Source organism: Homo sapiens, chromosome 15, assembly GCF_000001405.40.
Source record: "Homo sapiens chromosome 15, GRCh38.p14 Primary Assembly".
Classification (NCBI taxonomy): domain Eukaryota; kingdom Metazoa; phylum Chordata; class Mammalia; order Primates; family Hominidae; genus Homo; species Homo sapiens.
This window is the reverse complement of record NC_000015.10, coordinates 53,696,153-53,709,364: the sequence shown is the minus strand read 5'-3', so window position 1 is coordinate 53,709,364 and position 13,212 is coordinate 53,696,153. Positions and strand designations below refer to the sequence as shown.

At 38.3% G+C, this 13,212-nt stretch overlaps 1 protein-coding gene across 8 annotated transcripts in view; it reads left to right on the top strand.

Moving 5' to 3' along the window:
- WDR72 (WD repeat domain 72) overlaps positions 1-13,212 on the top strand; it is a 249,138-nt gene that overhangs the window by 53,514 nt on the left and 182,412 nt on the right. For 7 of the 8 annotated variants that reach the window (NR_102334.2, NM_182758.4, XM_047432344.1 and 4 more), the window contains 4 exons: positions 3,291-3,438; positions 4,132-4,377; positions 7,011-7,231; positions 9,420-9,615. Coding sequence is in view for 7 of the 8 variants with exons in the window: in NM_182758.4 (NP_877435.3) it covers positions 3,291-3,438; positions 4,132-4,377; positions 7,011-7,231; positions 9,420-9,615 (811 nt within the window). In the remaining variant the exon portion in view is untranslated. The remainder of the gene's footprint in view (positions 1-3,290; positions 3,439-4,131; positions 4,378-7,010; positions 7,232-9,419; positions 9,616-13,212) is intronic. The other variant, XM_011521436.3, reaches the window with a different exon arrangement.

Below are 13,212 nucleotides of genomic sequence, written 5' to 3'. Positions count from 1 at the left end.
TGTTTAAACAACCATAGATGTTTCTGTATCTTAAAAGCGAGAAAGCCTAGAAGCCAGTGAAATATGAATAGAATAATTGGAAACTGGAAAAAGCTGGTCTGCCTGTCCTTACTTGCCTTTTATCCAGGGCATAAAGTCAGACTTTCTTCCCCTTATTCAAACATCACTAGTGTTCACTAAATGTAAGAGTCCTTAGTCTCTCTTGCAGTTACCAAGTAATGAAGGCATTGTGGTAGGATGAAGAGATGAATTTGATACATTCAGTGAGCTTAGAAAAGACTGCTCTGTAAGCAGGTACTATTGTCTGAACTCATTTTTTGGAGTAATACCATAGAATTAAATCTCCAGGTTTGACAGTAACAGGTTCTCAGTTATTGTTTGTAATGCCCATGTACATATCTGCTGATGGAGTTACAGTGGTAAGAATGAGGATTCGTCTTTCCTTCCAGCAGCTGCATGAGGATCTCCCTAGCTTCAAATCACAGCTGGTAATTGCTGAGGCCTGTGGTGCAGGGGTCCTGGCTATTGAGACAAGGAACTGGTTTTCCCAGGGTCTCAGCCACAGAGTAAGACTGCTGTGCTGAAGTGGGAATAGCTGGGATAGAAACAGCCTAAGAATTGCAAATAAAAAATGTGTGTGCATGAACTAAGAGTAATGGTGATGATGATGATGGTGATGATGATGACAAAAACTTCATTTGAGTCCTTATTATTGTCAAACATACAAACAACCTCATTTACTTTAGTTGCCACCAAGATCCCATGTTGAAACTGATGTTCAGAGAGGTGAATTCCCAGGATTTGAATTCAAGTGGTTTAGCCCAAATCCAGTAATGGGTTTTGGAGTGAGTTTCTTAATTGTTCTGAGAAAAGAATTACCAGAATTGTTAAAATTAATTGAATAGGGACTAAATGTCAGGGACCATCCTGTGCACCTTATCTTTATCTACTCATTAATCCTCACACCAATCCCATATAGCGGGTGCTTTTATTAGTCTTATTTCACAGTTAGGGAAAATGAGACAGTGAGGTGCACTAAATTGCCTACAGTAACCAACTTGCTCTTTCAATAGAGCTAGGATGTGGTAAAGCCAGGATTTAAATCCAGGCAGTTAGCCCCAGGGATTTCAGTGCTAATGGCTATGTTTTATTACCTCCTGGGTGGTGGAGACTCTTATGATGGACACAGTGATGAAAAATCGGAATTCACATGGTAAGGGACTATGAAGAAGTTTTCAGGTGAATAGCAGAACTAGAGGGAACTGTTTGGGAGGAGGAGGAGCGAGGGACCAAGCGGTGAGTGTGAGCAAGTGAGAAGCAGCAATGTGGAAGGTGAAGGCAGAGGGGATGAGAGCAACAGGGAACTTCAGCTGCCAGAGGCAAAGCACCAGCTGGGAGGAGTTGTGCTGCCACCAACTCGAGTAACCCAGCAGCCTCTTGGAGCTTCCTTTTCAAATCAGAATAACCAGGGAGTTGGAACAATCAGTTCTAAGTGCATACAAGGGTGGGAGAGTTTGAGTAGCCAATTTAACCAAATGTTATCAACACCATTTCAAATAGCTATAAAAATCATGGCTGTAAGACACCAAAGTGCCCTCTGAGTCTTAAAAAAATTTATTGGCCGGGCGCAGTGGCTCATGCCTGTAATCCCAGCACTTTGGGAGGCCGAGGTGGGTGGATCAGGAGGTCAGGAGATTGAGACCATCCTGGCTAACACGGTGAAACCCCATCTCTACTAAAAATACAAAAAATTAGCCGGGCGTGGTGGCGGGCGCCTGTAGTCCCAGCTACTCGGGAGGCTGAGGCAGGAGAATGGTGTGAACCCTGGAGGCAGAGCTTGCAGTGAGCCGAGATCATGCCCCTGCACTCCAGCCTGGGCAACAGAGCGAGACTCTGTCTCAAAAAAAAAAATTCATTTAGAAACTGACTTTATTGGAACCATTTTCTGTGATGCTCTTATTTCTTGGGACTATAGGGAATTAATTATACGTCTTGGTTGGATGACCTTGGATTGGTTTCTTATTTTCTGTGATAGTTTCCCTATTTTCATATCAGGATAATAGCAATGTTTACTTACTACATAGCTTTGTTGTGAAGATTAAATGTAGCAATATCGTGGCCTTTAATAATCACTAATGAATAGAATTTTTCACTAATGTGTCTAAATCCAGACCTTAAAGCATGTATTTTCTGACTAGGAAGCATCACTTTCCTGAACTTCTTTAATTCTAGCACCAGCAGTTGGCTTTCTTTTTAGGATGACTTTTATTTCTGCGCCAAAGAGAGTTTGGGTTTTGTTTTTGTAATCGCTTAAATGATTTTGATCCCTTATGCATAATCTCTATATACAAACCTGCCCGAAGAACAGCTATACTGCCCTGAGAAGGACTAGGGATGCTCTAAATGCATTCATGAGTGAAGGCATAGCTTTAAAAACGCTGGTGCCCAATATTCATATTCTGCTTCAGCAAGATCATAAGTTATATATAATTTAGATACAATGTACAATATTATACATAATTTATATAATGTATAACATTATATATGTATATACACACCATTATAAATTATGGAATCATTTTCCTTTGTGGCCACTTGAGAAATCAGAAATCAAGTATGTTCAATCTGAAAATAGTCAACAAAATGTAGAAAACATATTAATAACAAAATTACTATACAAATGTTACTTGTTGCTGTTTTAACTGACAATTAGAACTATAAAGGAACTGTAAAGAAATTAAGCCTTCTCAGTGGACATCTTTAGCATCAAGACATGGGTTGCTGAATCACAATGACTGGACTCAAAGCCCATTGCTTCTTCTAATCGCCTTAGACAAATCAATCTCTTCATTCCAAGTTTTCTTGTCTGTAAAATGAAAACAATGATAGTACCAATTTTATAGGGTTATTGTGAGGATTATTTAACTGAATATGTAGAAAGCCCCTTGCAGTAATGTGTACACATAGCCATATATATATATATATATATATATATATATATATATATATATATACACACACACACACACACACGCACATATAACATGGTCAGTAAATGTTAGATACTTTTATTGACTTTCTGAGGTCTATGACTTTGCTTCTTGTTTTATAAAGCCTCTTTAGTCCTAGATCACAGATTATTTCATTTAATTTACTTGAAAATGTCAAAAGAGTGGGAAATAAATTGAAAAGATTTATTCAGTTATTAAGTCTTGTTTCTCCATTTAAAAACAGTGGCCATCTCTCTCTAGTTAGAATATTTCCTACATAAAAGCTCACTTTTTGTTTAGGAACAGAGCCGTCCCTTTGTTATGGGCTACATGAATGAAAGGAAAGAGCCTTTTTACAAGGTACTTTTCTCTGGAGAAGTCTCAGGAAGAATTACTTTGTGGCACATCCCTGATGTTCCTGTATCCAAGTTTGATGGTTCTCCTAGAGGTAAGTCAGTTTCCTTTTCTAGTAACATGTCTTCTGAGAATGAATTTGTAATTAATTCATTGTTCTTCTAAGTTGAGCAGCATGGGACCACAAACAAGAAAAATTTATTGTGTACTACTACGTATTAAATGACAACATGAAAGCAGGTATAAACACAAAGCTTAGGCGGGGCACAGTGGCTCATGCCTGTAATCCTAGCACTTTGGGAAGCTGAGGTGGGTGGATTGCCTGAGCAAAGGACTTCGAGACCAGCCTGGGCAACACGGTGAAACCCCGTCTCTACTAAAATACAAAAAATTAGCCAGGCATGGCAGCATGCACCTGTAATCCCAGCTACTCAGGAGGCTGAGGCAGGTGAATTGCTTAAACCCAGGAGGTGGAGGTTGCGGTGAGCCGAGATCATGCCACTGCACTCCAGCCTGGGTGACACAGTGAGACTTGGTCTCAAAAAAAAAATTTTTTTTTAATTAAAAACACACACACACAAAGGTTATGGATCTTATATACTAATATAACCAATATAATTCATGTTAACATCAATTGAACTTCCCAAGAGATGAATGCTGGCAATATGAATCTGGGATAGGCTGTAACACTGTATTCATATTTTTGAAGGGAGGGTGCCTTGATATTTTCCATGTCTATGATGTACTGATAAACCAAATTTTCTTTTTATGTCTGTTTTCTTTTTAGAGATACCAGTAACTGCCACCTGGACTCTTCAAGATAATTTTGATAAGCATGATACTATGTCACAAAGTATTATTGACTATTTCTCTGGGCTTAAAGATGGGGCAGGAACTGCTGTAGTCACTTCATCAGAGTATATTCCAAGTCTTGATAAACTAATATGTGGCTGTGAAGATGGGACAATTATCATTACCCAGGCTTTGAATGCTGCCAAAGCAAGACTTCTGGAAGGTGGTTCTTTAGTAAAAGGTCCTTGAATTTTATTTGACCCTATTTATTTGATTTATCTAAAGCTGCAATTTCAACAGACTGCACTAAACAAGATTTAGAGGCCTAAATAATTTGCTGGCATTTGCTGATAAATATGTACATATTTTAATGTTAAAGTAAAACATACATATAGGTTTTTTTTTTTTTTTTAAACTCCCTGTAATCCTAGCACTTTGGGAGGCCAAGGCGGGCGGATCACGAGGTCAGGAGATCGAGACCATCCTGGCTAACACGGTGAAACCCCATTTCTACTAAAAATACAAAAAAAAAAAAAAAAGCTGGGCATGGTGGCGGGCACCTGTAGTCCCAGCTACTTGGGAGGCTGAGGCAGGAGAATGGCGTGAACCTGGGAGCAGAGCTTGCAGTGAGCTGAGATCACGCCACTGCACTCCAGCCTGGGCAACAGGGCAAGACTCCACTCCATCTCAAAAAAAACCAAAACCAAAAACAAAAAAAACTCAAGCAGAAGGCTACACAATAAGAAATGATTTTTTCTCCTTACTTGATCTTCCAGTTCTTTCTCCAAAGGCAACTGCTAATAACAGTTTATTTATACTCTTCTTGAAATTTTCTATGTGTGTACAAGCACATATCAGCATAACAACATACAGTCTTTTAATTATATTGCACAAATAAAAATGTATTCTACATGCTTTACTCAAATGTCCTTAAACAAATCTAATTAAAATATTGTGGAGTTCATTCTTTATGAGCTGACTTTAAATAATTAGTAATAATTGAACTTTAATTGCCTATTAATTGGCATGTAGGTTTTCTAGTTTTTAGCTACTATGGACAATGCAGAATTGATTATTATTGTACATATATGTGAGCATATCTGTACAGATGTGTGAGTATATATCTTTGGCCACTTACTAAATGTTACTGACTTGTGCTTCAGTGATTGACTGAAGTGGAGGAGTAAATGGCAATGAACCAAAGAGAGGTAATGTACTGGTATACAGCTAAATGGCTGCCATTAAAAGTTAGTGAAAAAGCAAAGACCTAGCAGTTTTTATCTAGGCTGATTTACCCTAATATCCAGAAAGCAAGAAAAAGCCATATTTGACTTGTAGCACCTCAATGAACATTCATCCAGGTGGGTTAGGAGATAAAAAGTGAGGATATGCCTGAAGGAATAGAAGTTTCCGAAGTATAATAATAATTTGATGTTTATTTTCATTTTGAATAAAGAGAGTTTGTGGTTTATGGTTCTTTCCAGTTTGGGGGAGTTTAGCTAATGATGAAGGAAGAAGCAGTGTGGTTAGTGGGAAGAGTAACCCCCTAGCACAGTAGTGTGTCAGTAGTCCTGTGCTCTCATACAGCTGTGATTTGAAATGCCCATATGCCTACCAAGTGCCAAGCAGAGTGCTACAAAATTATAGACATTATCTTATTTATTCCACACAACAGTCTTGTCCGAAGTAAGGAATATTATTATCCTAAATTTTCAGATGTAACATCTGTGGTTAAGAGGGAAAAGGCAACTAGATGTGGTGACATATCTAGTAAGTGATAGACCCAGGGAGAAAAGGCAGATTAATTTAACAGCAATGCTGTACTCTTAAACATTTTGCTTTGCTTTTTCACACTTGGATGCAAGTCACTTAACCTCTCTGAGCCTCAGATGCTTTATCTGTAAAGCCAAGAGGTAGAATTAGGTAATGTCTAACATCTTTCAAAGCAAAAATATTTCCTGAAACTTTTATTTTCTTGTATACTAGACTTAGTCATTCTAATTTAAAGAATGACGGGCTGGGCGCGGTGGCTACCGCCTGTAATCCCAGCACTTTGGAAGGCTGAGGCAAGTGGATCCCTTGAGCCCAGGAGTTTGAGACCAGTGTGAGCATTATGGTGACACCCTGTCCCTGCAAAAAAAACAAAAATTAGCTGGGCATGGTGGCGCTCACCTGTGGACCCAGCTACTAGGGAGGCTGAGGTGGAAGGATCATCCGAGCCCAGGGAACTTGAGGAATAGAAGTTTTGTCTTATGGTGCCATGATTGTACCACTGTACTCTAGCCTGGTCAACAGAGTGAGACCCTGTCTCAAAAAAAAAAAAAAATGAATGAAAATAAGTAATATTCTGAATTTATTTTTGTGGAGGTAAATGTACGAAGTATTCACTCTTTTAGAGCAGTGTTTACTATTCAGTGACGCTGGAATTGGTAGCTTACTAATGTCCTTAAGAATTAATAGACTTTGTAGCTGGGACTATAGGTGCGAGCTACCACACCTAGCTAATTTTTGTATTTTTAGTAGAGATGGGGTTTCACCATGTTGGCCAGGCTGGTCTTGAACCCCTGACCTCAAGCGATCTGCCCATCCTGGCCTCCCAAACTGCTGATATTACAGGCATGAGCCACCATGCCTGGCCTAGAATTAATAGACTTTGAACAACTAACTGTAGTGCTTCATCAAAAGCATACTCTGGCTTCTGGTGAGGCACTTGTTTTTCAAGATGATCTAAGGATGTTCACTAGTTTTCTTAGCCAAGTGCATGCTTTAATTATATGTAATTTCCTTATGTTAAAATTTTATAGAAGAGAATCTTGGGACGATTTTCTGAACAAAAATAACATCTGTATTATTTGGTGTTTCATTGTTTTTCAGATTCTCCCCCTCATAAAGTTCTTAAAGGCCACCACCAAAGTGTCACTTCATTACTCTATCCACATGGTCTCTCTTCGAAATTAGACCAAAGTTGGATGTTGTCTGGGGACCTGGACTCATGTGTGATCTTGTGGGATATCTTTACTGAAGAAATTTTGCATAAATTCTTTTTGGAAGCTGGTCCAGTAACAAGTCTTTTGATGTCACCAGAGAAGTTTAAAGTAAGACGAAGAGTAAAATATAACATCTAAATTTGAAAATTATATAAATTATAGAATACTTAATAAGACAAGTAAAAATGACCCATATTTCCAAAGAAAAGAAAAACATGAGTTCTATGTACTTATAATACAACTGGATGATTCATATATATTTATTTCTAATCTTTCTATATGAATTGTAGTATTATTATAACTTACATTAGACGGATAATTTGGCTCTAAAGCAAAGATTTAGTCAATGCTTAGCTTTACAACAACCACTTAATTCTCTTCAAGTACTTACATCTATTTTTTTCCTCTCATTCTATATCTTCATTTTTAATGGAATTATCTTTTTTTTAAAAAAGTAGATACTCAAGGCAAAAACAAGTCAAACAATATAGGAATCTATAAATTAGAAATTAACTTTTGCCTTCAATAACTTCCATTTTGCAATGAGCTGAGATCATGCTACTGCATTCCAGCCTGGGCAACAGAGCAAGACCTTGTCAAGAATTTCTTTTTATAATAATATTGATAAATAGTTACATTTGTCTTCTGTGTGTGTGTGTGTGTGTGTGTGTGTGTGTGTGTGAGAGAGAGAGAGAGAGAGAGAGACAGGGTCTCACTTTGTCATCCAGGCTGGAGTACAGTGGCGTGATCATGGCTCACTGCAGCCTCAACCTCCTGGGCTCCAGGGATCCTCCTGCCTCAGCCTCCCAAGTAGCTGGGACTACAGGCATGTAGTCCAGCTACTGTTTTTTATTTTTGTTTTTGTAGAAACAGGATCTTGCTTTGTTGCCCAGGCTGGTCTCCAACTCCTGGGTGCAAGGAATCTTCCCACCTCTGCCTCCCAAAGTGCTGGGATTACAGGCATCAGCTATTGTGCCCAGCACATTTTCTTCTTAAATGGGTTTTTATTTGCTTATTCATTTATTTAACAGAGAATGAGCTTTAATAAGTTTGTGAGCATCTACCTTGTTATGGGCAAAATGAAATCGCTTTAGGTAGAATTTTCTCATGAAATGTCAACTTAAATTCAGCTTTTGTAAAGTTGACTTAAAAAAAACATGAACAACCAACTTTTGAGTTTCCTCTGTAGTAAAAGGACATGGTAACACAGGTAAAATGATTTTTTAAGTCAGTTAATTGGCTTATAAACATTATTTCTCCATAGTCTATTCCTGACCATAAGATTTGTGTTCACACGGTATGTGTGTGTATGTATGTAAGTTTCCTGGAGCACGTTGGGCTGCCTGTTCTAGAAGCCGTGGGATGGGCAGGTTCTCCAGGAAATAGAATGGTTAGGGAAAAATGACATATGATCCGTTCTGCAAGTCTAGGCTCCAGATCTATCACACCTGCCATTTTGTGATTTTTTTTTTCCTTACGATTTCTGGAGTGCACTTAATAAAGAATTAGGAAAGAAAACATGTATCCCAATCCTCCCTGCATCCCCGCCTCCAGAGAGGTTAATGATGAGTAATGGGTGTCTCAAGGTCTCCAAACTGATGCTTTAAACAAAACAGCCAAATTTCTGGCTAGATCATTAGAATCCACCTTGGATAGTAATTGTCGTAACCTGTTCAAGGTAACCACATGCTGACTTCTTAAAAAGTATCTTAAGGATTGTTGTCCTGGGAGCCTATTTTTGGTCCTTATGTCTTTGAGGCTGTACATTCAGTTGGAGCTATCTAATGCTTACCTCTTTTAGACTGTGTCTACACTGAGTTTCCTGTTTGGATTAGAACCTGTATAGTTCTGGGAACAGCACCAAATCACATTTTGAGGCTTTAAGTGGAAAATATCAGCTCATGATACCCTTGGGCCTAAGCTTGTGTCTACAAATAGCTTCTTTTTGTGGCAACAAATTAGTTCTGGGGTTTATTTTATTCTGCATTATTTCCGATGTCTGCCTCGCTGCCTGAATTTGCTGAGTGATGGTCAAGTCCTTCATTTATCTTATAAGTAGATCTGTCCTGGATTCATCTTTTGACCTTCCTGTGAAGTTGTTGAGCTTAGACTCCACTCTGTGTTTAAAGCTCCTCTGTAGAGGGTTACATGAAAGGTGCTGTAGAAAGCAGAAATATCATTTTTGTAAATGGGGCTTTAACAAAACTTTTTTATGTTACTGGGAGAAAAAAATCTGACTTACTCATAAAGAAAGCATTTGACTATTTACTTACATAAGCATGTTGTTTTTTCACAGCTAAGGGGTGAGCAGATAATTTGCTGTGTGTGCGGTGACCATTCCGTGGCTCTCCTTCACCTTGAGGGAAAGAGTTGCCTCCTGCATGCCCGGAAGCACCTTTTTCCTGTGAGGATGATAAAATGGCACCCGGTTGAGAATTTTTTAATTGTTGGATGTGCAGATGACTCAGTTTATATCTGGGAAATTGAAACAGGTAAGTTGAAATTTTATCCCTTTCATTCTTTATATATTTATGATGTACAAGCATTTGACCAGATGGAAAGTTTCAGAGAAGACACGGTGATGACCTCACTTGCTTTAACCTTTGTTTGGGCTGCATTTAATGGCTTCAGTTAAAGGCATGTGTGCAAAATTAAACACAACGGCCTAAGTCAGATCCTGACCAACTGATGATTAGCTGACAGGGCAGTGCACAGGAATGAGCCGGATATTTCTGGAAGCTATAAATAAAAACATAAGTTATCTACTTTAATTATTAACAAGAGAGAAATTTAGTGTCCTACTGGTCTCAAATTATCATTAAATTCTGCTTTCTTCAGCATGCTCACCATCTCAGCAACATTTTGAGCTAATTGATGATCAGTAATAATGGAATATAATTAATTATAAAACTCCAAAAAGTTGAGTCAGGGAAACTGAAAACTGAGTGGCTCAATTGAACTTTTGATATCATATCATAGAGAATGTAGAGTTTGAACTTTTTAAAATTAAAAAACAATTACTAAATAACTAAAGATTGAGAGTAATACATTCCAGAAAATGCTGGAACATATCAAATAAGGTGAGGTAATTAATGAACGTGAGTCAGGGGAGTTCGTTTGAGAGTACATTTCACTGAAACTGTAGCATGATTTTTATTGATTAATCAGTGGTGGTTTTATGTTGGGTGTTATTAACAGACTGGATAGTTTATAATATTATAGTTTAGAGCCATACTTCACCAAAATAATTGCTATTTTCTTTGCATTTTACTGTCATGTGTAAGTGATGATGACTAGTGTACTAGTGTTTAGAGGGTGCAACCTAATACTGCCTTACATTTGTAAATTGTTTTATAGCTTTGATGGGCTTTCCTGCTCATTTTCCCATCAGATTCTCACAACTTCTGAGGTAGGTCAGAGAAGTATTATTCACCATTTTATTGATGAGGAATTTGCAGATGTGATACATAAATGTACAAGACTGTACAACTAATAAGTGGTGAACCAGTTTGAGGGTCTTGCTTGTTCTTTGCACAATATACACAAAATTAGGGGAGTTTTAGAATTCTTGATTTGAGCAACAGTTAATTATAATAGATAAAATAGGCCCTAAAGCCTGGGCTTGCCTCCAGAACCTGTTAATAGGACCTCGGATCATATTACATTGCTTCTTTGCTTGTCAATCTCCTCATCTATGAAATGGGGTAATAATACTGCCTTCCTATCAGGATTAAATGAGCTAATACCTACAATGCTTATAAACAGTACCTGCAGGTGGTTAGCCCTTAGTAATAGTTGACTATTGTTATTATCAATGAATGCAGCAAAGTCTTGACTTCTGCTTATAAAATATAAGCCTGTAAATCACATATGCTTATTAATGTGCCCAATTGCATTTTCAGTTGTGAACACTTGGTAACTAAACATATTTTTCATAGGTGATAGAATCCAGCAAGAATAAATAAATATCTGGGCACTCACGAGTGTTTATGGTCCCCTTTTCCCATCGGGATACCCTTAGGCTATGTAACTTTTTATTTATGTATTTCTTTGCCAGAGTGGGAAGTAAAGCAAAGCCAAACCATTAGTACTTCTTGAGATTATATTTATTCCCATTCTGTATTTTAATTTTGTTATTTCTTTTTTATACACCCTCAAATACATAACCAAATGTTGAAGAACGTTTGAAAAATAAATATAAAGAAAAACAAATAATCCTATCCTACTACTTAATAAGTGCTCTTGTCTACTAAAAATATAAAAAAATTAGCCGGGCATGGTGGCGGGCACCTGTAGTCCCAGCTACTCGGGAGGCTGAGGCAGGAGAATGGCGTGAACCCGGGAGGCGGAGCTTGCAGTGAGCGGAGATCGCGCCACTACATTCCAGCCTGGGCGACAGAGCGAGTCTCTGTCTCAAACAAAAAAATAATAATAATAAGTGCTATTAATATTTTGATCTACTTTCTGTCAGACATTTTTCTATGTCAATAAATAGATATTTACTGTATTTTAGTCTATATTGTATTTCAGTCACAGTCCTGGCAGGAAACTGAAGTCAACCCAGATGGGTCAAATGAAGAAACTTGAATGAAAGGACTATTTATAGAGGTGTGGGCAGGGATTAGGGACCAGACAAGGAATGGATGGTGAGGGCCTCCAGCACCCAGGCACTGGCAGCATCAGGAAGCTCTGGCCACCTCTAGGACTGAAGCAAAAAGAGGAGAAAACATTGTTGTTGGAACCCAGTGAGAGTTGAAGCTCAGGAGGAATGGTCACCCCATGAAGTCATAGAAAAGAAGCAGCTCCTGCCAGAGATGGAGGACTCACATAGAGAGGGGAGGGTTGGAAGAAATTCTTTTTTCTTCTGCAGTCACCTCCATTAATTTAATCCACTGAAAGTGAGAGAGGAAGGGCATTCAGTTCTGGGCATCAGCCTCCCTGTGCACAAAAAAGGAAGGACACAGAAGGGTAGGAAAGGACGGAGTGGGTTGTCACATGGACAATAATCGATAGAGTTGTCATTATGGACATACTAGGCTTTAATTGAGGAATCTCCTATAGTTGGTTATCTATACTATTTTCTATAAAAAGTTTGTTTTAGAATTTCCGTATCAAACAGTATGCATAGGTTTAGTGCCAAAGTAACCTAGAGAATATAAGTTGTTCATCTTTTGGTTGTCTATATTAATAGTTTAAAAACAATCTCAACTCATCTTAAGATGAGCTTATAATTGGTGATGATAGTATTAATGATTCTACCCAGACCTTCACATTTGTGACGTGCCTCTTCACTTCTTTAGACACAATCCCATTGACCACCTCATTTGAGCCTTACAACACCCTGTGAAGGTGGCTGGTGGCCCAACTTTCTATATCACATTCATTCCTTTTGAATAAGTTTATGCTGTTCCTTTATTCTCGTGTTGGGTATTGCCTTTGTTGTGTTTTGCCTTTAATCTGTGCAATTTTAATTTTGGTTACAATTTAGTGAATTATGTTTTCTTTTCCAAGCCAGATTTCAGCTGGCTAAGATGCTTCCATCATGTTTACTGCACTTGATTTCTGTTTTATTCTTTACTTACAAAGGTTGAATGGTCTGAGATCAGGAAGTGTTTCCATTTATATTTTCATAAAGCTAGGGGGAAAATACGAACTAAAGCCAAAACAGGCTGAAAAGAGCTATTTGAAGGTATGGAATATACTTGCTCATGGATGTGCCTGGCACACGAATGATAAATGAATGAGTGAACTAATTAATCCAAGTGCCCTTACCTCAGTAGATTGAGTATGAATTAATTCACCTTAACATTGGCCAGTTATGGCTCTTAGATCCTGACTGCCCAACTGTAAGCAGGTCCTTAGCTTTCTGCTTCAAGTCTTCCCTAGGGTTTTGGAGTTCACAGGGCATATTTCACCTCCTCAGGTGAAGGTCTGTGTATTTCCTACTCCAGTCAATTTTTCCTGGGCCTTGGCCTTTTAGTTTTACTATTCTCTCCACAGGGTTCACACTTAGTTCCATGTGTGGACAGACCTATTCCTACTTTCATTTCTCCAGCACTCTGCCTCCTCTAACTACGTGAAGGAGGAAT